This window comes from Homo sapiens, chromosome 5, assembly GCF_000001405.40.
Source record: "Homo sapiens chromosome 5, GRCh38.p14 Primary Assembly".
Taxonomy (NCBI): domain Eukaryota; kingdom Metazoa; phylum Chordata; class Mammalia; order Primates; family Hominidae; genus Homo; species Homo sapiens.
In genome coordinates this window covers 132450363-132472691 of record NC_000005.10, presented here as the reverse complement: position 1 = coordinate 132472691, position 22329 = coordinate 132450363, and the positions used below count along the sequence as shown (strand labels likewise).

The window sequence follows — 22329 nt, the reverse complement described above, 5'->3', positions numbered from 1 at the left end:
TCTCGGCTTAGTGCAATCTCGGTGTAGTCTCGACCTCACAGGCTCAAGTGATCCTCCCACCTCAGCCTCCGGAGAAGCTGGGACTACAGGTACATACCACCATGCCCAGCTAATTTTTTGTAGAGACAGGATTTCGCCATGTTGTCCATGCTGGTCTCGAACTCCTGAGCTCACATAATCCTCCTGCCTCGGCCTCCCAAAGTACTGGGATTATAGGTGTGAGCCACCTTGACTGGCCTATAATTACTTTTATAATCAGAAAAAAAATTATAAATAAATATGAAAAGTGCCAGGAACTTTCTTTTGTGGAGCCACACACTGGGCTCAAGGAATCATTTGAGCTGGGTTCTGCAGGGGTGGGAGTCTTGGCGCGGGCCCTGGTCCTTGCTGTGTGACCCTGGAGACTCACTACTTTCCCTCCCTGGCCTTTGTTTGCCTGGTAAGACAAGATGCTCCCTAGGGTCCTTTGCAGCTTAATAAGTAAAGTATTCGCCTTGGTCTCATCCATCCCAGCTCTTTGCCCAGCTTCCAGTGACTCCTCTGTGCCTGGAGAGAAGGGCAAGCGCCTTACTCATGCCTTGAGGTTGCTGACCACTTCCGTCACCAGCCTCGCTCCTTCCAGACCTGCCCTGGGAGTCCCTGCCTCCTGGCCTTCACCTGCATCACGGTCTGCACTTCTCAGAGCCCTGCCCTTCCTTGAAGAACAAAGCCTGGCCAAATTGTGTCAGCCTTCTGGCCTGCAGTGACCCCTGCTTACATCGTACATAACAATAGCTATAACTTATTGACATTAACTTCAGGTCACATAGCAAAAGTGCTCTCATTTAAATCTTAGGCCACCAGAGGATCCATAGACTAAAATGTTAACAGCATCTCCTGGAGTTGTGGAGTGTGGTGACCCTATGTGATCCTCCTGTGCCACTGAGAGATATATTATTAACCCAGTTTCACTGATAAGATAACTGAGGCTCAGAGAGGTCAAGTAACTTGCCCATGGTCACACAGTGGGTCCATGGCAGAGCTGGGAGGTGATCCCTAGTCAGTTCCCTCCAAGTCCAGGATTTTCTCACTCCCACAATGGTGTCTCCCTTAATGACTCTCACATTCCAGCCTCTGAGGGCAGGAAGGGTATGTTCTGAGTTGAACACACAGAGAGCACTCAATGATGTCTGGTGGTGAAGATGTTAATCATGAGCTCAATCAAGGTTTATCATTAAATCAACAAGTCTTCCTAGTGTGTCTGGGAGCTCTGGGGCCCAGGGACAGGCCTACTGTAGTTCAGTGTTGTATTCTGGCACCTGGTGGTTTCTGGCACATAGCCCATGTTCATTAAATGACATGAATTGATTGTCCATTCAAATAATAAAACAATAAATAAATAATACTAGCTAACAGGTATGGAGTGCCTACAAGCCAGCCACCTCAGGGAGTTTCCAGGACAGTTGAGGAGAAACATAACACTGTTGACAAGAGCTACAACGTAGGGTTTTACACCAAAACAGTGTCTACGTAAACAGTGTCTATCAAAGAGAGAAAAATGATGGGCAGACACCCTGATCCTTCCCACAGTGCTAAAGGCCATGCCAGCCACTGTCCCCATTACGACTTGCATATACTGACTGCCGAAGCACACAAACCTGAATTTTCCGTCTGCATCCATCGTTCTGTCTGTTCGGATCACATCTGGATACTACTGTTGCCTCTCCAGACTGGATAACCAGTCTGCTGAGGGCCAGAAGATGGTGAGATGGAAACTAGTCATGTTTACTTGGAGAAGAGAAATGAAGACCGTCTTTAACACCTGACAGGTTGCTCTTCCCAAGAGGGGCCAGAGGGCAACAGCCATGGTCAACAGCTCCAGGCACCCCTGAGGAAGCCTGCTCCAGCTGGCAGGGCTGTCTGGCAAGGGACCAGTCCCTCCTCTGGAGAAGTGGTGAGCCCAGTGGGCTGCCTCTCCAGCAGGATCCTGTAGAGACCTTACTCTCTACAATGCACACTCCACACACTTGCTCACTTGACAAACACTTATTATAACTGTCACCCTGGGCCCATTCCAGGTTAGGGACATAAGGATGAATAAAACAAGGTCTGTACCAGTAGAGAACATCAGTCCTCTAGGGGAGAAAGTCAGGAAAGCCTCATCCTGAGCCTTCGACTCCTTACTGTCCATCCTCTAGGCTCCTGTCTCAGCTTCTGCTGAAGGCTATTTTCTTCCTTGTATTCTGCAGTGACCAGGCATATGGCAGATAATCAACAAATACAGGCATCCCTGAAGAGGGTATCCTGGGATAAAAGCCCCAGCTGGATCAGTGCTATACAGGGGCCAACTGGGGGTGGGTTCCAGGCAGGGTCATTTGCAAGGGTCCCTCTGCCCCTTCAAGTCCTGCCAGACAGGCCTTGGCCATGGTTTCTTCCTGCCCCTGTCCCCTGACCACAGTTGATCTCCCCTGGCTGTTATGAAATGTCAAAGAATGTCCTGCAATCCTAAATTCCATAATGATCTTTATCTTCTGTTCCCTCTGAGGCTCCTCAATCTGCAGTAACAGCTGTGGTTCAGCAAGCAGTGCGGCACTCTGGAGTGCTGTTCTGAAACAGGGCCGGCGTGGGGCAGAGCTCATCTGCTGCCCTATCCATTCACTGTGCTGTTCGGGGCTAGAGAAGATTCATGTGTGTATATGCTTTTTAAAAATTGTGAAACAATAATTATGCAGAAAAATACATAGAATATATGTTCAGTTTAACAAATAATCATAAAGCAAATCTCTATAAAACCACTGCTGCTCTGCAGTGACCCCTGCTTCCCCCTAAGTCGTGCATAACAATAGCTACAATTTACTGACCATGAACTTCAGGTCACACAGCAAAGGTGTTCTCATTTAATCTTTGGCCACCAGAGGCTGCATAGACTAAAATGTGAACAGTGTCCCCTGCAGTTGTGGAGTGTGGTGACCCTATTGGATCTTCTCATGCCACTGAGGGATATACTGTTTTCTGTAGAGAAGTCCAGCAGAGTCACTGTCCTGGGGGGCATCCTTCTTGATCGCCCCCATGCCATGAAGGCCCATTCCTTGCCCAGGGCTCTAGAGTCTGAGCTTCTCCAAGAGGGAATGGAGTCTTTCGCAGAGGGGCTGTGGAGCCTCGTAAGGCTGAATCTAACCACGAGCAGGGATTTTGGGCAGCTGCATATCCCAGATGGTTTCCCAGTGGATCAGCTTCCTGTTGCTGCTCTAATAAACTAACATAAACTTAGGGGCTTAAAACAACACAAATTTCTTTTCTTATAGTTCCGTAGGTCAGAAGTCCAAAACAGGTCTCACTGGGCTAAACTGAAGGTGTCAGCAGGGCTGCATTCCTTCCTGGGGGCTCTAGTAGAGAATCTCTTTCCTTTCTTCCCCTTTCCAGCTTTTAGAGGCTGCCTGCATTCCTTGGCCTGCGGCCCCTTCCTCCACCTTCAAAGCCAGCACTGGCTGGCCAGGTCTTTCATATATTGCAATCTCTCTGCTTCTGCTTCTGCTTCTGACCCTTCTGCCTCTCTCTTCTCCATTTAAGAATGCTTGTGATTACATTGGGCTCACCCACCCCAGTTTCTACCCAATAATCCAGGGTAATCTCCCAAACTTAAAGAGAGAAAACAATACTAGCACCCCCAAAGCACCTACGTGTTCCCCTACTAATCACAACCCCAACCCTCCCTTCTGCATAAGTAGACATTTGTAATAATTCTGTGCTTTTTGTAGTTTGACCTCCTCTGCATGTATCCTTAACAATACAGTTTTGCCAGCTGTTAAATTTTTGCTAAAAGGAATTATACTGTATGCATTCTTTTGTAGGTTTTATTCATTGATGAGTCATTTGTTATTACAGTATTATTATCCAATATGACAATATTACAGTTATTGCAAGTCGCTGTAGTTCATTTCACTCCAGGAACACTGCACAATTTATTTGTACTCTCCACTTTTGATGGTCATTTGGACATTTTCTGGTGCTGTGTGGGTATTCTGGTGCACATGGGTAAGAGTGTGGTTTGAGAAGAGTCTGAGGAGTGGGACTCTTGGGTTACAGGGTATATATATGTTTTCATCTTTTAAAAAAATTTATATTATTCATTTTTTTAAAGACTAGTCGCTGGGCGCGGTGGCTCACACCTGTAATCCCAGCACTTTGGGAGGCCGAGGCCGGTGGATCATGAGGTTGGGAGATTGAAACCATCCTGGCTAACACGGTGAAATCCCATCTCTATTAAAAATACAAAAAATTAGCCAGGCGTGGTGGCAGGCGCCTGTAGTCCCAGCTACTCAGGAGGCTGAGGCAAGAGAATGGCGTGAACCCGGGAGGCAGAGCTTGCAGTGAGCTGAGATCGCGCCACTGCACTCCAGCCTGGGTGACAAAGCGAGACTCCATCTCAAAAAAAAAACAAAAAACAACAACAAAAAAAGACTAGTCAAGGGCAGTAGTGAGAAGGGGGAAAAGAGTAGAACAAGGAGTTCGATCTGTAACTGACTGTGAAGTCAATTGAGATAATTCACTACCTTCAGATCAGCCATGTTTTCATCTTTACCAGATCACTTATATGCTTTATTTTCTTTACTTATATACTTTTTAATCCTGAAAGTGTTTCTCAGGGAAACAGTGGTATTACACCCAGTTGTTTAGGTAGAAGAAATGGGGTATGTCTGCCCTTACAGTGTGACCTTCCCACCTTCTGTCTTCAGAACCCTGTCCCCTCCATCCCAGATAGCCCTGTGCCCTCTGGAATCCACAGGCTGGCCCCTCAGTAGCCTCCCTACCTTGCAGTTGGGTGGGGGGTGGGAGGAGGTCAAGAAAGAGGAAGTGAAAACTAAATACAAGGGCTACAGAGAAGTCCGGTCCACAAACCTCAATGTTTCAGCAGCACACGCTGTGAGAAAGGAATGTGCAAGCTGTTTGTGGAGCATGCCTTGGGGGTGCCAAGGCCACTGGTGCAAAGGTGTGCTTCTGGACATAAGTCACTCCACACAATGCTCACCCCAACCCTGTGAGGTACGGTACTGTCATCCCCATGTCACAGAATGAAGACACTGAGCTGCACGGACATTGAGTGTCTGTCAATACAGTGCAATGGTTAATAGCATGGGATCTAGGTCTGTTTAAATTGGGTTTAAATTCTGACTTCCCCACTTACTAGTGGTGCAGTCACCTGGGCCATTACTGACTTCCTTTGGTGTCAGTTTCTGCACCTGTAAAATGGGGCTAATTGGCTCACAGGGTTGTTGAGAGAGGTAAAAGATGTAATGTGTAGAAGGAGCTTAGTCAAGTGCCAAGCACAAGGGAGAACCCAGTGGAACTAAAATGAGCAGAGCTATGAAATGATGACCATTATAGAGTTCAAGGTTGACAGGGTGGAATGGGGGGTTGTCCTGGCAAGCTGGGACCAGGCCACCAAGGTGCTGGTTTGGTGCTATGTGAGAATGGAATGCTGGCCAGGTGGACTCTGAAACATGGACACCTGGACAGTCCTCCCACTGACCTTGTCCACCTTTGTCCGGAGCTCTCTACCTATCTGTGGCTGCTTCCAAGGACGGTGATTTCTGACAGAGGCAGCTGGACCTTGGCACATGCAGAAGTTTCAGCTCAGCATCAGTGCTGGCCTTCAGGAGGCCGCATTGGCAGGCGGCAGCAGTGACAGCCAATGGGCAGCAAAGCTTGTTGCTAAGGTCACTGTGAGCCTTATTTGGTGACACAGGGCTGACCCTGCATTCACCTCTGAGAACCCTGGGAAACGCCAACCACAGATGTGAAATATGAACGTCTCAAAACCACAACTGCATTTCCTTTGAGAAAAGATTCGGCTGTCCTCCTCTCCAGCCTGCCTCCCTCCGCTGGATGTCTTTTGTACAATGGCTCACTACTGCAAGAGGCAAGAGCCTAGGCTACAAGAAGAGTCTGCTACAAGCTAGTCCTGGGCAGGCCTGGACAGGGAGAGGGCAGGGGCTGCTGTGCAGGCGGCCCCAGGACCTTCAAGGACCTCCAAGACTTCCGTTCACACCCAGCAGCTGCCAACCCCTGCCCAGGCCTCCCCCAACACAGCCGGAGGGCCTGTTCCTGGCCCCACTTCCTGCAGCCTTGGGAAGCCGGCTAGCTTGAGAAAGGCGTGTGGCACTCATGGAGGAAGTGGGCCGGCACTGGGGCTCTCACCATCTGCACCAGCCACACCGCTTCGGTGCAGCCTGGAGCTCAAACGGTTGGCGGTTTCAGTTTTTCACCTCCCTTTGGTGCATCTTCCAGCTTATCATTAAATAAGTAAAACTGTTGCTCCACCCCAGACAAATGTGGGAGGGAAGTTGTGTCTTCAATATTTCCCAAATAACACTCACTGCTCCCTCCCATTCATACAGCACCTTCGGGTCTGGGAGCTGTGCTCACATCTGCCATCTCATTACATCCTTGCAACCCTCGCAAAGGTAATGACTGAGCTCACACCATGTGTCAGGGACATGAATGAATTCACAGAATTCACTGTAATTGTCCCCATTTTACAGAAGAGAAAATGAGACAGAGAAATTCAGTCATTGGCTCAAGGTCATCACATAACTAGGATTTTCTCCCAGATGGCTGAGTTCCAAAGTCTGCCCTATTCTCTTCTGCTACATTGCCTCCATGGCACATACACAAGAACGAGTTCCATTTACTGATGAGAAAGTGAGGCTGAGGTGAAAGGGTGGTGTGGGGCCTGAGGTCAGCGTTGCTTCCTCAGTCCACATCTCCTCCCAGAGGATGGTCCACCAACGTCCTTCATCTGCCCTCCCCCTTTAAAAACCACTGTCAGCCCGGCACGGTGGCTCATGCCTGTAATCCCAGCACTTTGGGAGGCTGAGGTGGGTGGATCACCTGAGGTTGGGAGTTCGAGACTAGCCTGAGCAACATGGAGAAACCCCGTCTCTACTAAAAACACAAAAATTGGCTGGGTGTGATGGTGCATGCCTGCAATCCCAGCTACTCGGGAGGCTGAGGCAGGAGAATTACTTGAACCCAGGAGGCAGAGGTTGCGATGAGCCGAGATCACGCCATTGCACTCCAGCCTGGGCAACAAGAGTGAAACTCCATCTCAAAAAACAAACAAACAAACAAAAACACTGTCATGCCCCCACCGCCAGCTTGTCTCCCTTTCTTTTTAGGTGTGGCCCACAGAGCTCAGTGCCCTGCCTATCTGGAAGAGGCTGTGAAGCCCATCTATGTAGGTAACGGAGGCAAAGCAAGGGCTAGGGAGAGTGTGCCATGTGGGACACCTCCCCCTATCACCTCCCCACTGCCTGCACACACTGGGGACAGTCAAAGCATTCCTCAGGCTGGGGGTAGGAGCTGTGGGCGGAAGAGCTGGGGCATCTGTTCACAGAATCCTCCCCTGAAGTTGCTCGGAGGGGCTGGGATGCAGTCCAGACACTGGGGAGCCTGATGCAGACGCCTCCCTGGAGCACTGTCCTTCTCTTGGGCTCTTCAAGCCTGCCCTCACTCATGAACACATATTTTTTGTGTGTACTTCCTGCATGCCAGGCACTACCCAGGCACTGTGGATGCACAGTGAACAACACAGACCAGGTCCACGCGTCACAGACTTTACTTCCCTGAGGGAGGCAGACATTAGGCAAATAATCACATGGATCTCTGAAAAACATAGCTCCTACGAGAGGGTGCAACTTCAGGGGTCTTAACCTACAAAGGAGTGTGTGGGATTAGGGGGTTAGGGCAGCTGTTCTAAGGATGAGACATTTCAGGTGAGGAGAGGAATGGGGTGGAGTTGGCAGGGGGGCTGGTTCTCGGCTCTCCCCGACTGCCCTCCTTCCCCGCATTCCAGTCGCTTCAGGAAATCTGCCGCTTCCATGAGAGCTTCTTTGGTGGTGTCTTCCAAGCTGCTACCAAGCGATGGCTTTGCCAGCTGTTGCTTTCAGTGTTTGTGCCTGGGTGAGCACAGCCGGTATGAAATGGCCCAGATTAATCGAGAGCCAGGCCCCTCCTAAAGTACCTCTGAAAAGAGTTTTTCAGCATAAGCATGACATTAGCTTTTCCTAGAGAGGAAACCACCCCCGGGGCTGACAGCAAGCAGGCCAGGCTTAAAGGAAGCAAGTGCAGCGCTGGGGCCCCTCCATGCCCTGCTGCAGACAGGACACCCTCACTGCCTTCCCCCAACATGCTCCCCCACTCCCACTCCTGCTTCTTTCTCCCTGGGGGACTCTCCTTGTGGAAAAGAAACCCCAACAGTAGGGGGAGCGAGTGAAACTGGAAAATGAAACTGTGATTTCCAGTTTCATTTTCCAGTTTCAATTTAGAAGCAGCTCTGCCAGCTTTCCAGTGCCCGTGCCTCAGGGCATCACAGAGGAGCTGAGGGGCAGGAAAAAGTGTTCCAGCCAGCAAGCACCCTGCTCCCTGGGCACCCTCAGAGGGCAGGTACTGGACTGGTAGAACCCACTGAGCAGGGAGTTGTTGCAATGCCGATTCCTGGCTCTCCAGGCTCTGAGGCCGTACGTTTGGGCCCTTTGGTGATTCTGATGCAGGCTGTGGACCTCACCATGGCAGTCGTGGCCTCAGAGACCATCAGAACAGCTAGAGCACACCTGAGGCACGGCCTCATCCTCTCCAAGTCACTTCCTGCCACAGATGCTCGGGAAGTGCTGCTTCTCTGTGCAGCATCTCCTGCCCTCCTCCATCTGGTGTTGGAGGCATCTTAGATGTTCTCTGGGACCTGAGGTCTGTAGGAAACCCCGGCTGTGGACTTCACACAAGGGTCGCTCTTTCCCACACTCCAGGTTTCCCTTTAAGCTGCTAATTTGTAACAGGCATTCATAGAAACAGAATAAGATAGAGAAATTCTATTAAAGGACCTTATGTGCTTTTGCTCTGTCTGTTGCTCCATTTATTTGCAATTTATAGCCTAATCCAAGAGGATTTAAGGACAATTAAATATTTCTTTCCCCTCAGTGTGTGTGTGCGAGTGCACGTGTAAGAGTGTGTAGGGGTTGGGTCTTCCAATGTACCTTTGCCCTGGTTTGACCGTGGGGGGAGAGGGTGGGCAGGTCTCCAGGCCTGCCAGATGTAGACCTTTCCTAATGTCTACAGCAAATTTGTTCTTCAGTGTTTCTAGTATCAGTTTTTGATCAATCATTAATCAAAGTTGCAATAAAAAGATAATCTTCTCAGGACTAGGCTATAAAGGTCCTGGCTGCAACCTTAAAAAACCCTTCTGTGGAGGCCTCAGAGCCAAGAGAAAAGGGCGATGTGTCTGTGGCTGGATTTGGAGGTAAATGAACGTGCTGTCCCTCTCTAATTGGTGTGCACGAACATGAACTTCAGTCACTTGCGTGGCTATGGCCTCTTTCTTCATCTCTCCCTGCCAGTGAAGCTGGTGGTGCCCTGGCTCCCAAGCCAGGTGGCAAAGCTGGGGAAGGAGGCTGTAGTTGGGCCCAAATATGGGGGTCTGGGGGCACCTCCACAGGTTGTGACCACTGCAGCATGCTCTGGGGCCAGGCCTATGGCAGTGGAGGCAGGACAGCCCCCAGGACCACAGAGCCCCCATAGTGGAGGGAGCCACTACTTGGGCGGCTCAGCTCATTCCTGCTGACTTGCTGCTGTACAGGGCAGAGGGGTGCCTGAGACAAAGAGGAGACACACTTCTCCCACGAGAAATAAAGCAAGCAGCTGTTCCTCTCTTGGGCCCAGCAGGGGTCAGAGGCTGTGGGACCTTCACTCCTTCCCTCTCAGTGGAGAGGGCAGATCTGCTCTTTGGGGTGTGAGGGCACAGCCTCCTGACAAGCTGGAGAAGCAGGATTTAAGAGCTAGAATCAACGGAGAATGTGAGGCCCAGCATCAGGTTCAAGAAGCAAGGGGATCAAGGTTGGGGGGGAGGCAGGGAGCCTGAGCCTGGCGCAGCCCAGACCAACAGACTGAGGAGTCCAGAGAGCCAACATGCTCACTCGGCCATCGCTAAGATGTGTAGTGTGTGAGAAGGTGTGAGAGGTACTCGCGTTTCTCTCTCCAACCCCTTCCAACATATTATTGGGTCGTGGGTGCCATGTTTTTAGTAGACACATAAAATAAATGAGTATTTTCAGAGAAGTGCAACCCTGGAGGTGCAGGGGAGTGAACTCAGCCATGAGAAATCATTCAAAGGATTGACCTATGGAACAGGGATAGACTTGCTCTCCATGGCTCCAGCAGGGAAGCAGCAGAGAGGGGAACCTTTCCTGAAAGTCCAGTGTGACATCTGAAGACACACACACACACACACACACACTTTTTTGAGAGAGAGAACGAGAATGAAAAGATACACACTGATCTTTCAACAGTCGTTGTCTCTACCTGGTGATTGCGAATGATTTTAATTTTTTTCCTCTTGTGCTTACAGTATTTTCTAAAATCTCTAAAATACACCCAAATTACTTTCTTGTTATGGCAAAATAGACATAAAATGTCTACATCCATTTTAACCATTTTTAAGTGCAGAGTTCCATAGTATGAAGTACATTCTCACTGTTGTGCAGCCATCACCACCATCCATCTCCAGAACTTTTTCATCACCCTCAACATAAACTCTGCATCCACTAAGCAGTATCTCCCTGTTCTTCCTCCTTCCAGCCCCTGGCAACCATCCTTCTACTTTCTGTCTCTATGAATTTCACTATTCTAGGTACCTCATATAAGTGGGATCATCTGGTATTTTTCCTTCTGTGTCTGGCTTATTTCACTTAGCATAATGTTTTTAAGGTTCATCTATGTTATAACATGTACCAGAATTTCATTCCTTTTTAAAGCTGAATTATGTTCCATTGTACATATTCACCATATTTTGTTTATCCACTCCTCTTGTCATGGACATCTGGGTTGTTTCCACCTTTTGGCTATTGTGAATAATACTGCTACAAACACTGGTGTACAAATATCACTTTGAGTCCCTGCTTTCAATTCTTTTGGGTATATTCCTAGAAGTGGAACTGCGGGATCATATGATAACTAAGTTTTTGAGGAACCACCACATTGTTTTCAACAAAGGCTGCATGATTTTACGTTCCCAATAGCAATGCACAAGGGTATCTATTTCTTCACATCCTTGCCAACACTTATTTTCAGGTTGTTTTTGTTGTTTTAAAATAGCCATCCTAACAGATGTGAAGTGGTATCTTACTTATTATGGTTTTCATTTGCATTTCCCTAATCTAAATTACGTTTTAAAATCCAATCCTCTCTGAATTGAACCCTTTGTTCTTTATTTCTCAATAAAATGGACCTTGCCCCCTTTTTTTCCTTCTTTGTACCTATGCTCTGCATTTTAAAAAATTGTGGCAAAATACATATAACTTAAAACTTTACCATCTTAACCATTTTCAAGTGTAGAGTTCAGTATTAAGTATATTCACATTGTTGTGCCCTAACCCAAATATAGTATATAATGGCAAAAAGAAACAAAAGGCTCTCTAAAGAAAAAGAAAGCCGTGAATTCTTGGACCCCAGAGATGTTCACAAACAGATTGGATCAATCTCAGCAGGGACTTTCATTCATCTTCTGAGCATCTCTGCTGGGCTGGGCTCTGTGCCAGGCAGGGGTCTCCGTGGTGAGTGTGGCCTGGACTCTGCCCTTGGGGTTCAGCCTCTGTGGGGAACAGTTATACCCAAGGGCTGCTGTGGGCACAGAGGGACACCCTGTTGTGTGGGTGCGGCATTGGGAAGGGGCATAAGTGAGGTGGCACATGAGTTCAGGTGGGAAGGATGAGCAGACATGTACATGTGCAGAGAAGGGAACTGGCGTGTGTGGCTGGGCTGTGGCAGCACACCTCACAACCACCATTACAGGAGCATCTATTAATCATTTATGTCTGTCTCTCTACTTGATTATAAGCTGCATGAGAGCAGGGCTGATGGTTTTGTTCACTGCTGCATTGCTGCCATGCCCAGCACAGGCAAGTGTAAAAGAAACACTTGCTGAATAAATGAGTGGTTGATGACGAGGAAAAAGGAGACATTTCTTTCCAGAATCTTGGCTGTAAGCAGCAGACAGCATGGCTGTACTCCACGGGGAAGGCAGGATGGCAGGAAGCATTATACAGGTGATGGAGACAGGAGCACAGCAGGAGCCAGTGGAGAAGAAGAGTTTGAAGATTCCCTGGTTGAGAGAATGGAAGGGCGTAATTGCTGGGGAGAGGTCCCTGAAGAAAGGGGAGAGGCTGGGATGCAGGCTCAGTGGAAGGAGAGGAGTCTCCTTATGAGACTCAGATGGCCAGTGTGAAAAAGACAGAAGATACCAACTGCTGGTAAGAATGGGAAGCACACTGCATGGGGAACTCTCCTACACTGCTGGAGGCGTGTTCTTCCTGTTATTCTAGATTCAGACAGCACTCTGGTCGCTGGTTGGTGCAGGCCACCATTTGGGCCAATTAGAGGAACCCCAATATCTGCACTTGGACTATCAGAAATGAGAGCTCTACGCCCAGAGCAATTTCCAAGATGGGCCTGAATCCATGAGTCATGGCACTACATGGAGCCCAGGGTTGGCTCTGAGCCTAACAGCCTCCAAAATGTCAACTTTGTTCACGTGCCACTTTGTCCCTCATCTCATGCCATGCAGCTGGCAGGACTTCAGTTGACAGAAGGTAGACCCTGCTCTTTTCAAAAAGCACACAGGACAGGTGCTGATAGGCCAGCCCCTCCCACTGAGCTCTAGTTACTGCGGTGAACTTCACCAGGAGGTTCAGCGCCCACTGTGGCTCTGCCTGAGGGGCCTCTGTGCACACTCAGTCCAGGCACTAGCATCCCAGCGCCTGGCCAGTGGTCCAACTCCAGACTCACTACACAGAGCCCCTTGCAACCGATGTGTGCCAACATGGAGCCCACACAGGGCAGCTCAGCGTGACACCTGCACAGCTCAAGACTGAGGGAAGGAAATGCATCTTCTTTCTCAAGTTGGAAGAGGCTGTACTGAATTACCAAATGGCATTATACTCTCTGTGGGGGAGCACAGATGAGTGTCCGGCAGTCCCTGGGATGATGTTACAGTCCAGAGGTGGGGATGAGATGAGCCCAGATGATGCAATGGGGATGCAATCAAGACACGATGTCATTAGAAGCCACAGTGTGTTCTCTCATGCCACGTGTTTCCCAGCTTAGAGGAGTAAGGGGTCGGGGGGGGGAGTGGCCCCCTGGGACCCTGCTCTAGGACGCATGCATAAGGACCCACATGCAAACGCACAGAATTCAAGAGCTAGCCAGGCCTGGACCCATGTAGGAGAGCCCCACTGGCTGATTTCCAATCTGGGACAAAGGCCACAGACAGGAGGCCTCCCTTGGCCACACCCAGGTCCCCAGAACATATGCTCCACTGTCCCCAGTCTAACCACAACCCCATATGAGCTGTGTCCCATTCATGTTGGCCTAGAAACTGGGAAGTACCTGGCATGGGGCCCTCCGCTTCCTCCCCATGACTGCCTGGAGCTCTGGGGAGACCACCAAGGGGCCATTTTTGTGGTTAGGAAATGTCTGTGGCAGCTGTGGACACCACAGGCCCTCCCTGGACCCTTCTGAAGTAGAGGTCACATTCCTAAAGATTCTTAACTGCCAGCTCCAATTGCTTCTTCCTGACAGGCTCATCTTAGTAGGGAGTGAATATAATCTTTTCCCAGTTCCACGAGGTCCTCTCAGATCCAAAATGCTCTAAGTTCAAAGGCAAATCATGAAGAAAGGGAGACGCAGATACTAATTTGTGGTTTTAGTTCAGTGGTTTTCCACCTTGGCTACACAGTAGAGTTACCTAAGGAGCTTTTTAAAAATACTCATGTCCAAATATTCCAACAGGCACTTTGCAAAGAGAAGATCTAAATGGCTAACAAACATATGAAAGGTTGCTCAGCTGTATTAGTCATCAGGGAAATGCAAATTCAAACCACACTGTGATACCACTACATACCTGCCAGAATGGCTAACATGAAAAAGATAGAAAATATCTATGGTTGGCAAAAATGTGAAGCAACCAGAACTCTCATACATTGCTGGAGGGAGTGTAAATGGGTACAGCCACCTGGGAACATTATTTGGCATAAGGTACTAAAGCTGAACATACTCATACCCATGCTTCCCCAGCAATGGATATACATGTACTCCAAAAATACACACTAGCATGTCATTGCAATAGTCAGAATAGTTCCGAATTATAAATAACAACTCGAATATCCAAAAATGCATCACAGTAGAATGGATAAATCGAGGAATATCCATAGAGTGGAATACTCTATAGCAAGAAGAGTGAATAAACTGCAGCTCTAAGTAACAACTTGGATGAATCATCTCACAAACACAACAAGAGGATATATACTGCCTGATTCCATTTACATCATATAAAGTTTGAAAACAGGAGAAATGACTGTACACCATTAGAAGCCAGAATGGACATTAGCCTTTGGAGCCAGGTAGTAAGTGGAAGGGGTACCAGGGGTTGCTGGTGATGTTCTGTTTCATGATTTGGATGCTGGTTACTCGGGGTAAATTCATTTTGTGAAAATTCACTGAGCTTTACACTTATGGTTTGTGCTTTTTTTTTTTTTTTTGCATGTATGTCATCCTTCAACAAACACTTAAAAAATGTTTGAAAACCCCATCAATTCAGTCAGACTCTTTGGGTGGGAGCAAGATCCAGGCATCAGTATTTTTTAATATCCCAGATGATGGTAATATGCAGCCAGGATTTAAAGTCACTGGTTTAATATCTTGGGAAAAGCAGATCCACTCAAGACCTCACAGGGTCCTGACAAAGGCCACTTCCAGCTCAGTGGAGTGAGACACTGGGGTGGGAAGATGTCCATTTTTTGGATGTGGGTCAGTCTCTTGCACAGGCAGAGGTATTGCAGCATGCTGTTGTAATGTGTATCTTCCTTGGCAGTGTCTGTTGAAAGCTGGTTGCATCAGTTTGTAATGGGGTGTAATGGCAACAAGGTGGGCCCAGCCCCCCCCAGGAAGTGGATCACTGAGCACAGCTTCTACAGGGCCATTTGTAGAGAGGTGGCAGCTGGGCTTCCCAGGGGCTGCCACCCAGGGCAGAGCCAGTGCTGAGGCTCTGACAACCTCGGCAGGGTGGGGAGAAGGCCAGACTCAGGGTGTTTATGTTTGTGGGTAATGACAGTCAGCTCTGGGCTCCAGATGATGCTTACTCCCTGGCCTCTGTGTTCAGATTAGGAACTTGCAACATCTTGCTGAGGACCATGTCAGGCTCAGCTCTAAGTGCTGTGGCTGAGAATTTTCCTTCCTCTCTGTGTGGTTAGTGGCAGCCTCCCTAGCAATGGCTGACCTCTAGCATACTCTGTCAAACTACAGGCAGCTGGGACAAGACAGGACATGGGGCTCACAGACAGGTATTCCACAACCTGGGCCCTGTCAACCCTCCCAGAAATGCATGGGCCATGAACCTCCTGCTGTGGGAGGGGCAGTGCAGAGAAGTCTCAATAAGCTTCTCTTGGCCCTCTGGGATCTCCACCATCCACAGTGTGTAGGGCTGAGCTGCAGGCTGGGTCTTCAGGTGGTGTCCCTGCACATCTGCTTTGCAGCGTGGCGTCTATAGAGCAAGAGTGAACAGGAAGGGGCCTCGGGCCTCCTGTAGCTCTGCTGGGCAGGGACGCTGCGGGGCCTCAGCTGGGCTTCCTTGGCTAAAGGGCACAGAGTGGCGTAGGCTGCAAGAGGACAAGCTAAGCTGATGAAGGCTCTATCACTCAAGGGTAGCCATGTAAAAAAAAATCCCTACAGGTAAAAGAAGCATGAATAAGACAGGCGGGGCATAACAGTGTCTCCCCACTGAAGCTGCAACTCTCTGCTTCACTGGCTTCAGCCTCCTCTCTGTGAAATGGGGGCAATGTCCCCTAGGCCTTTTCCTCCTGTCCAGTAGGGCTGAGGGTCTACAGGCCAGAGGGAGGCCTGGGCTCTGAGGCCTGTGCCTGTGTGGCCTCTGGCTGGGACCTCAGCCCCCATGTGCCACGTCACCTCCCTTGTCTGTGAAATACCACAACAGCAGCTCTTGCCAGCCAGTGACACTACCCCTTCCTGTTGTCTTCTTTACAAAGCATTTATGAAATGCTTCCTTTTCATGCTTCAGGAAACCGGTGGCCAGGAGGAGTTCTTGATTTCATTTTCTTCCCTAGAGATATGTGTGCTTCGAAATACACAAATTAAACAAAAACGAGGGCTGACTGGGACCAGGAGAGTGAGTGATCCTGGCTTCCCTTGATTTACATGCTTATTTTCCTTCTCAAATCACTCCAGTAAGTACAGAAGTCACTAATCTATTGCCCTCTATTATCTGCATTATAGTTAAAAACATCGACATGAACAAACAAAAGCCCTTGCGTAGCCTAGAGAAGTCACAAAGCTCACACCCAGACTCTCGCCTAAGAGAGTCTCTCAGGGCTCACTCAGGGACTATTTATTCTTGTTTTATTTTTTTAAATGTTGATACCCTCTCTGCTTGAGTATCCTTGTTTTAGATGCAAATCAGAAAAGGTTGCTGTATTGATCACAGTCCCAGCAGGAAACAGATGCACACTCCACTGGTAACAGGAGAGACTGAGGAAAGGACCGTTTCCAAGGGTGAGCAAGATGAAGAGAAACCCTCAAGGAAAGGTGAAGCATCCTGCAGCCAGCAACAGTGGGAGCTGTGACCACCAATCCCCAGGGAGGAGGTGGGAGGGCTCCTGGAACCCAGAGAGACCAGTAGGAGGGGACTGCCGGCAGGAGCTGTGGTTTTAGGGTGAAAAACACAGGCACTATTGACCTGAGACCTGGCAAGGGAGGGAGCTGGGGGGATAAAGCACCTCCCATTTCCCCTCCCAGCCTCCAACCTCTGGTCAGGGGAGGGGTCTTCAATTGGCCAAACCCAACTGGAAGCTTGGGGACCTGGAGCCTGGCTGATGGAATCCACAAAGGTCAAATCCTGGGAGGAGTGGGAAAGAGCAGAAAATCAACTGGAGCAGGGATGTGTGGGGGGGTGGCAAACAAACAATGCCCGGCAGAGTCACCGGGGCTGGCCATTTGAAAAGAGTACATCAGAAGCTAACGTGCTGTAATGTGGCACTCTCACCACAAATACATAGGATGAAAGGCAGCCAGGGACAGAGGCGGCCACGAAGAAAGGTTTAAAGAATCCCAGCAAAATGACTGGGGTCCTCATTATGGAAGAACAAATAGCTTTACTTAATAATTCCAAGGTAATAGCTTAATAGCTTAATAATTCCAAGGTAAACAAGTATTTTCATAAGGAGGACTCTGAATGATCAACAGAAGGTTAAATGTCACTGTACTGCTTCACAGAGCTGTTACAGGGCAGGGAAGACTATAACACAATGTAGAGATAGATCCATACAAGAGAGGTACAACAGGGTTTCCAGTTCAACACATCAGTTATTTACACTCCTAGTTTCCTTTCTCTCCTGAAGCACCACTAAAATGCTAGTCTAGAAATCAAATGGGGCCAGGTGCAGTGGCTCACGCCTATAATTCCAGCACTTTGGTAGGCCAAGGCAGGAGGATCATTAGAGTCCAGAAGTTCAAGACCAGCCTGGGCAACATAGCAAGACCCTGTCTTAAAAAAAAAATTGGCTGGGTGTGGTGGTGTGTACCTGGAGTCTCAGCTACTCAGGAGGCTGAGGTGGGAGGATCACTTGAGCCCAGGAGTTTGAGGCTGCAGTGAGCTATGGTCACACCACTGTACTCCAGTCTGGGCGATGAAGTGATACCCTGTCTCTTAAAAAAATCAAATGGGGCCAGGCGCGGTGGCTCATGCCTGTAATCCCAGCACTTTAGGAGGATGAGGAGGGTGGATTACTTGAGATCAGAAGTTCGAGACCAGCTTGGCCAACATGGTGAAACCCCGACTCTACTAAAAATACGAAAAGTAGTCAGGCATGGTGGCACATGCCTGTAGTCCCAGGTACTCGGGAGGCTGAGATATGAGAATTGCTTGAACCCAGGAGGCAGAGGTTGCAATGAGCCAAGATTGTGCCACTGCACTCCAGCTTGGGTGACAAGGCGAGACTCTGTCTCAAACAACCAACCAACCAAATGGTATTAACTCTCAAAGGCAAAGAGAATGGTAAAGGAGACATGAGTGGCTGAAAGAGTTCCCCAAACTACAGGAAGCTGGGAGGCAGGTGGAGGAATAATGACTGACATGGAGGAAGCTAGGCTCTGAAGGGCTTGCAGAGGGGCACACTGACAGGAGGCAAGCCACTTTACCCCTGGAACCCTGCAGGAGGAGCTCAGACTTGGGGAGTCCAGGTGTTGTGGCTGGTGGGGCTGAGGTACAGCAGCCTGTGGGGGTAATGAATGGAGGAAACTGGTTGAAATCCTCCCCAGGTCTCACCTCCACACCCTGCCCCACACAGCTGGAGACAAAGACACTGAACAGGAGAGAGACAGGCAGGAGGGAGGGCAGATGAATACAGGGATGAAAACAGGGAGGTGAGGGAAAAGTCTGAAGAATGAAGCGTGGGACTCAATGTCCCACCCACTTACCTTGCCCTGCCCCACCCCAGGTATATATCACTCTGGATGAGGGTATGGTGAATTTAAAAGATGGTTGCAAATTCTTTGACATTTCTCCAATGGAGAGGTGGGTCTGTGTCTCCTTCCTTGAACCTGTGTGGATTTCTGACTACAGTGGAAATGAGCTATGTGACTTCCAAGGCTGGGACATACACAGCCATGCAGCTTCTGTCTTGCTGGCCAGAACACTCACACCAGAGACTTGAGGTGCCTCGTAAGAGGTCCAATGACCAGGCCATGGTGCTGGAGACATCATGTGTAGTCTCTCTGGTCAACAGTCCCAGCTGAGCCCAGCCTTCCAGCTCTCTTTGCCAAGTGAACAACGATCTTACAAGTGGACCCTTCAGCCCCAGCTGTTCCAACTCCCAGTTATTCCAGTCACCTCGAGTCATTCCAGTCATCCTAGCCGTCGTAGAGCAGAGAATTGCCCTTCTGACTCCTTGACAGTGGCCCAAAAAATGGTTGTTGTTTTATGCTACTAAGTTTTGAGGTGGTTTGTTATGTAGCGTTCAATAACTAGAACTAGGAGTTAGAATGCTTCTCTTGAGGAGCTGAATGGCTTCAGGGTGGTGGTTCTCAACAGGGTGATTTTGTCCCCCAGGGGACATTTGGCAATGTTTACAGACATTTTGGTTATCACAACTCTGGGAGGGGGGTTACTACTGGCATTTAGTAGGCAGAAGTCACTGGTGCTGCTAAACATTCTACAATGCATGAGACAGCCTCTGACAACAAGGAATTCTTTGGCCCAACATGTCACTAGTACCAAGGTTAAGAAACCTAGCTCTAGAGAAAAGGTGCTCATTGGAGGCTTGTTAACTAAAAGACTGTCTTGCTTCCTGTAGTGAAACCCCAGTTGATAAATTCTCCCCAAGCAGAGTTTAGTTCAGCCTTTTATTGCTCCATTAATAAATACCAACAGATAGCTGAGATATTTGGCATTTAAGGAAAGCCTCCAACAAGGAGAGATGGAGAGACAGAGAGAGGGAGAAGAAAAAGAAAGCAGAAGGAAAAAGGAAGAAGGAAGAAAGAAGAGGGAAGAAGAAGAAGAACAAGAGGAAGAGGAGGAGGAAGAAGAAGAAGAAGAAGGAGGATGACGACAACGACAACAACAACAACAACAAGAAGCAGCCACCACCGCCGCTGCCACCTCCAGGTAGAAACAAAAACAAAATAGAGACTAGAAGACTATTAAGACAAATGGACAAATGAAAAATAAATAGTGCCTCAAGAAGAATAGGATGGAGATAGTATATGCATAAAAAAGAATGTGGTATTTTTGAAAAAGAACAGGAAGAACAAGAATGAGTACTAGGATATTAGAAAAAGAAAGCCAAAATTAAAAAAAAAATCAACAGAAGGGTTGGAGTATGAAGTCAATGAAGGTTTCCCAAGAAAGTAGACCAAAAAGGCAAAGAGATGAAAAGTAGGAGAGAAAATATAAGGAAACTAAAACATTAATCCAGATGATCCAACAGATAAAATACAGGGAAGAAAATTATTAAATAAATAATACAAGAAAATCTTCCAGGACTCAAAGATGCTACATAACTCAGCAGTGACGAATATGTCCACATTCACTATTGAGTTAACCACAGATTGTGTTATGTTCCTATTGGAAGGATGGAGAGAGGAAAAGTGGGGATGGTTCTGTAGGAAAGTTCAATCCTCATCTATCACAAGAAGTCAACAAATGCCTAAAATCGGTAGATCAAAAAATAGTATAAACAGAAATGGAAACTAGTAAATGGTTGAAAGAGGCAGCCTATAGAGAGGGGGAGTGAGAAAGGCGGGGAAGGGATTTTTATTATGGGCTTCTCAGTACAACTGATATTTAAACCATATGCATGCATTATTTTTTATTTTGTTTTTAATGGATACATAATAATTGTAGATATTTATGCAGTGCAGTGTGATGTTTCCAGACATACATATAGCATGACATGATCAAATCAGGGTAATTAGCATATCTATCACCTTAAACACTTGTCATTTCTTTGTGGTGACAACATTCAAAATCATCTCTTCCAGCTATTTTGAATTTGTGCATTATTTTGATAAATTTGATAGAATAGAAATTAATTTAAAAGGGTACAATTTTAAAACTGCAATGTGATGGGATCAAATTTAATAATTTGGAAAATTCGCTTATGTAGAAGAGTCATGCCTCTCTAAGAATGCTCAATGAACTGGCATAGGTGGGCACAAGCACCATCAGCATGGAAGGGTTCCTCCTGATGTCACTGGCCACTAAGGCAGTTGGTGGGGTGAGGGTGGGGATGAGAGCCAGGCATGGCAGCCCTTAGGTGGTCACCATTTCCCTCTCCTGGCAGCCTGTATTTGCTTGGGAGACCTATCTCTTGGGTATAGATCCTATTGGGCTGCTAAAGAAGAGAGGTGCTAATCCTTTTAGGATGACTTCTGGGAATTCACCAGGATGCCCTGCCTCTCCTACTCTGGACATGGAAAAAAATGCTGGGTTTACCAAAGGTGGATGAGTCAGGCCCAGGACTAGAGCCACGGGGCCTCTCCCTGGACGTGCCATAGTCAGGCTGTCTCGGCCGCTAAAAGAGGCTACACACATTTATTGTCATCAGAAGCTGGGACAGATGAGCCTTGGGTTACAAGATCTCCTACCTGGAGCTCTCCCGGGAGGTGCCAATCATAGGGGATGGGAGGACAAACACATGCTTGGTGGGGCTCTAGCGTTACCGCCGAGGTGCATCTCCTTGGCCACTAGCCCTGGGGTCTGACCTCCCCTTCTCTTTTCCTTCACCCATTGTTCTCTCTATTCCCTTTCTTTCCCACCTCTCTCTCAGTTCTCCAGAGCTCTGTGCAGGGACTACTTAGCAAACTTACCTGCTGAAATGCACTGTTTTTTTTTTAACCTTTTAAATTGTCACTTTTTTTTAAACTATACCATCCTTAGATAAGCAGGAGATATTCCTTGTAGAAAAATAAGAAAATATTAATAATCACCCATGATTCTATCAGTCAGAAAACTCCACTGCTGGTGTATGAATTTCCAGAATGTTTCCAGGCTTATAAACGGGTAAAAATACTATCACAGTCCATGTCTCATCTAAGCACCCAGCTACTGAGCAATCATCACCTACTGGGCTGTGCTGAGGCCTTTAGATGTGTTAATCTCTCTTAATCCTTCCAACTTCACAAGATAGGTGTTATTGTGCCCCGTTTACAGGCAGGAAACAAGTTCAGGGAGATCACATTACTTGCCTGAGTTCCCAAGTTGGTTAAGAGACTAAGCTAGATCTCAACCCTTCAGGCTGAATCCAAAGCTACTTTCCTTGAATGGTTTGTAAGATTTTTCCATTTCTTTTTTAAAAAAATGGTATGTTCAAATATCTTTCTCATCAATAAATATTTATCTTCATCATTCTTCCTAATGACATTCCCTTGTAGGAATGTGCCAATGTGGAATAACCAGTTCCGTCTTGTTGGGCTTTCAGATGTTTTCTTTTTGTAAATGATAAACAATGCAGTTATAACTATCTTTATATATAAACTTTGCAATAGTATGAGTATTTTCCTAGAATAAATACTGGAAAGTGAAATTGCGTGGTCAAAGGCCAGACACATTTTTAAAAGCTGCCTCTTTCCCAATCACACATTTCCCACATCCATTTATTTGCTGAGGATCTTCACAAAATTTGGACTGAGATTAAACACAGAATCAGAGAAGCCCTATGCTGGAAAGATCTTAGTATATACCTCTTGAACTAAACCAGTCTTACTTTAGAAAAAAAAAAAAAAAGGCCAGGCGCG

The 22329-nt window shown here is 47.8% G+C and overlaps 1 long non-coding RNA gene across 1 annotated transcript in view, besides 12 other annotated features; it reads right to left on the bottom strand.

Moving 5' to 3' along the window:
* The window catches only part of CARINH (colitis associated IRF1 antisense regulator of intestinal homeostasis), a 65116-nt gene that overhangs the window by 3353 nt on the left and 39434 nt on the right, over positions 1-22329 (bottom strand). The gene's annotated exons all lie outside the window — the stretch shown is intronic.
* Positions 5811-6190: an enhancer, noted in NCBI's record as "active region_23078". NCBI's record gives its function as "activates an Ori minimal core promoter by ATAC-STARR-seq in GM12878 lymphoblastoid cells {active_cell/tissue: GM12878}" and the evidence as "EXISTENCE:reporter gene assay evidence [ECO:0000049][PMID:35858748]".
* Positions 5811-6601: a biological region, named in NCBI's record as "H3K4me1 hESC enhancer GRCh37_chr5:131801783-131802284".
* Positions 6100-6601: an enhancer, noted in NCBI's record as "H3K4me1 hESC enhancer chr5:131801783-131802284 (GRCh37/hg19 assembly coordinates)". NCBI's record gives its function as "activates a minimal SCP1, AML or CMV promoter by ChIP-STARR-seq in primed H9 embryonic stem cells {active_cell/tissue: H9 hESC(primed)}" and the evidence as "EXISTENCE:reporter gene assay evidence [ECO:0000049][PMID:30033119]".
* Positions 6787-7751: an enhancer, noted in NCBI's record as "H3K27ac-H3K4me1 hESC enhancer chr5:131800633-131801597 (GRCh37/hg19 assembly coordinates)". NCBI's record gives its function as "activates a minimal SCP1, AML or CMV promoter by ChIP-STARR-seq in naive H9 embryonic stem cells {active_cell/tissue: H9 hESC(naive)}" and the evidence as "EXISTENCE:reporter gene assay evidence [ECO:0000049][PMID:30033119]".
* Positions 7752-8716: an enhancer, noted in NCBI's record as "H3K27ac-H3K4me1 hESC enhancer chr5:131799668-131800632 (GRCh37/hg19 assembly coordinates)". NCBI's record gives its function as "activates a minimal SCP1, AML or CMV promoter by ChIP-STARR-seq in naive H9 embryonic stem cells {active_cell/tissue: H9 hESC(naive)}" and the evidence as "EXISTENCE:reporter gene assay evidence [ECO:0000049][PMID:30033119]".
* Positions 7793-7862: an enhancer, noted in NCBI's record as "active region_23077". NCBI's record gives its function as "activates an Ori minimal core promoter by ATAC-STARR-seq in GM12878 lymphoblastoid cells {active_cell/tissue: GM12878}" and the evidence as "EXISTENCE:reporter gene assay evidence [ECO:0000049][PMID:35858748]".
* Positions 14782-15011: an enhancer, noted in NCBI's record as "active region_23076". NCBI's record gives its function as "activates an Ori minimal core promoter by ATAC-STARR-seq in GM12878 lymphoblastoid cells {active_cell/tissue: GM12878}" and the evidence as "EXISTENCE:reporter gene assay evidence [ECO:0000049][PMID:35858748]".
* Positions 14782-15608: a biological region, named in NCBI's record as "H3K27ac-H3K4me1 hESC enhancer GRCh37_chr5:131792776-131793445".
* Positions 14939-15608: an enhancer, noted in NCBI's record as "H3K27ac-H3K4me1 hESC enhancer chr5:131792776-131793445 (GRCh37/hg19 assembly coordinates)". NCBI's record gives its function as "activates a minimal SCP1, AML or CMV promoter by ChIP-STARR-seq in naive H9 embryonic stem cells {active_cell/tissue: H9 hESC(naive)}" and the evidence as "EXISTENCE:reporter gene assay evidence [ECO:0000049][PMID:30033119]".
* Positions 15609-16279: an enhancer, noted in NCBI's record as "H3K27ac-H3K4me1 hESC enhancer chr5:131792105-131792775 (GRCh37/hg19 assembly coordinates)". NCBI's record gives its function as "activates a minimal SCP1, AML or CMV promoter by ChIP-STARR-seq in naive H9 embryonic stem cells {active_cell/tissue: H9 hESC(naive)}" and the evidence as "EXISTENCE:reporter gene assay evidence [ECO:0000049][PMID:30033119]".
* Positions 16558-16750: a silencer, noted in NCBI's record as "fragment chr5:131791634-131791826 (GRCh37/hg19 assembly coordinates)". NCBI's record gives its function as "represses an EF-1alpha promoter that drives an FKBP-Casp9 reporter gene in an ReSE screen in K562 erythroleukemia cells {active_cell/tissue: K562}" and the evidence as "EXISTENCE:reporter gene assay evidence [ECO:0000049][PMID:32094911]".
* Positions 21353-21991: an enhancer, noted in NCBI's record as "OCT4-NANOG-H3K4me1 hESC enhancer chr5:131786393-131787031 (GRCh37/hg19 assembly coordinates)". NCBI's record gives its function as "activates a minimal SCP1, AML or CMV promoter by ChIP-STARR-seq in naive H9 embryonic stem cells {active_cell/tissue: H9 hESC(naive)}" and the evidence as "EXISTENCE:reporter gene assay evidence [ECO:0000049][PMID:30033119]".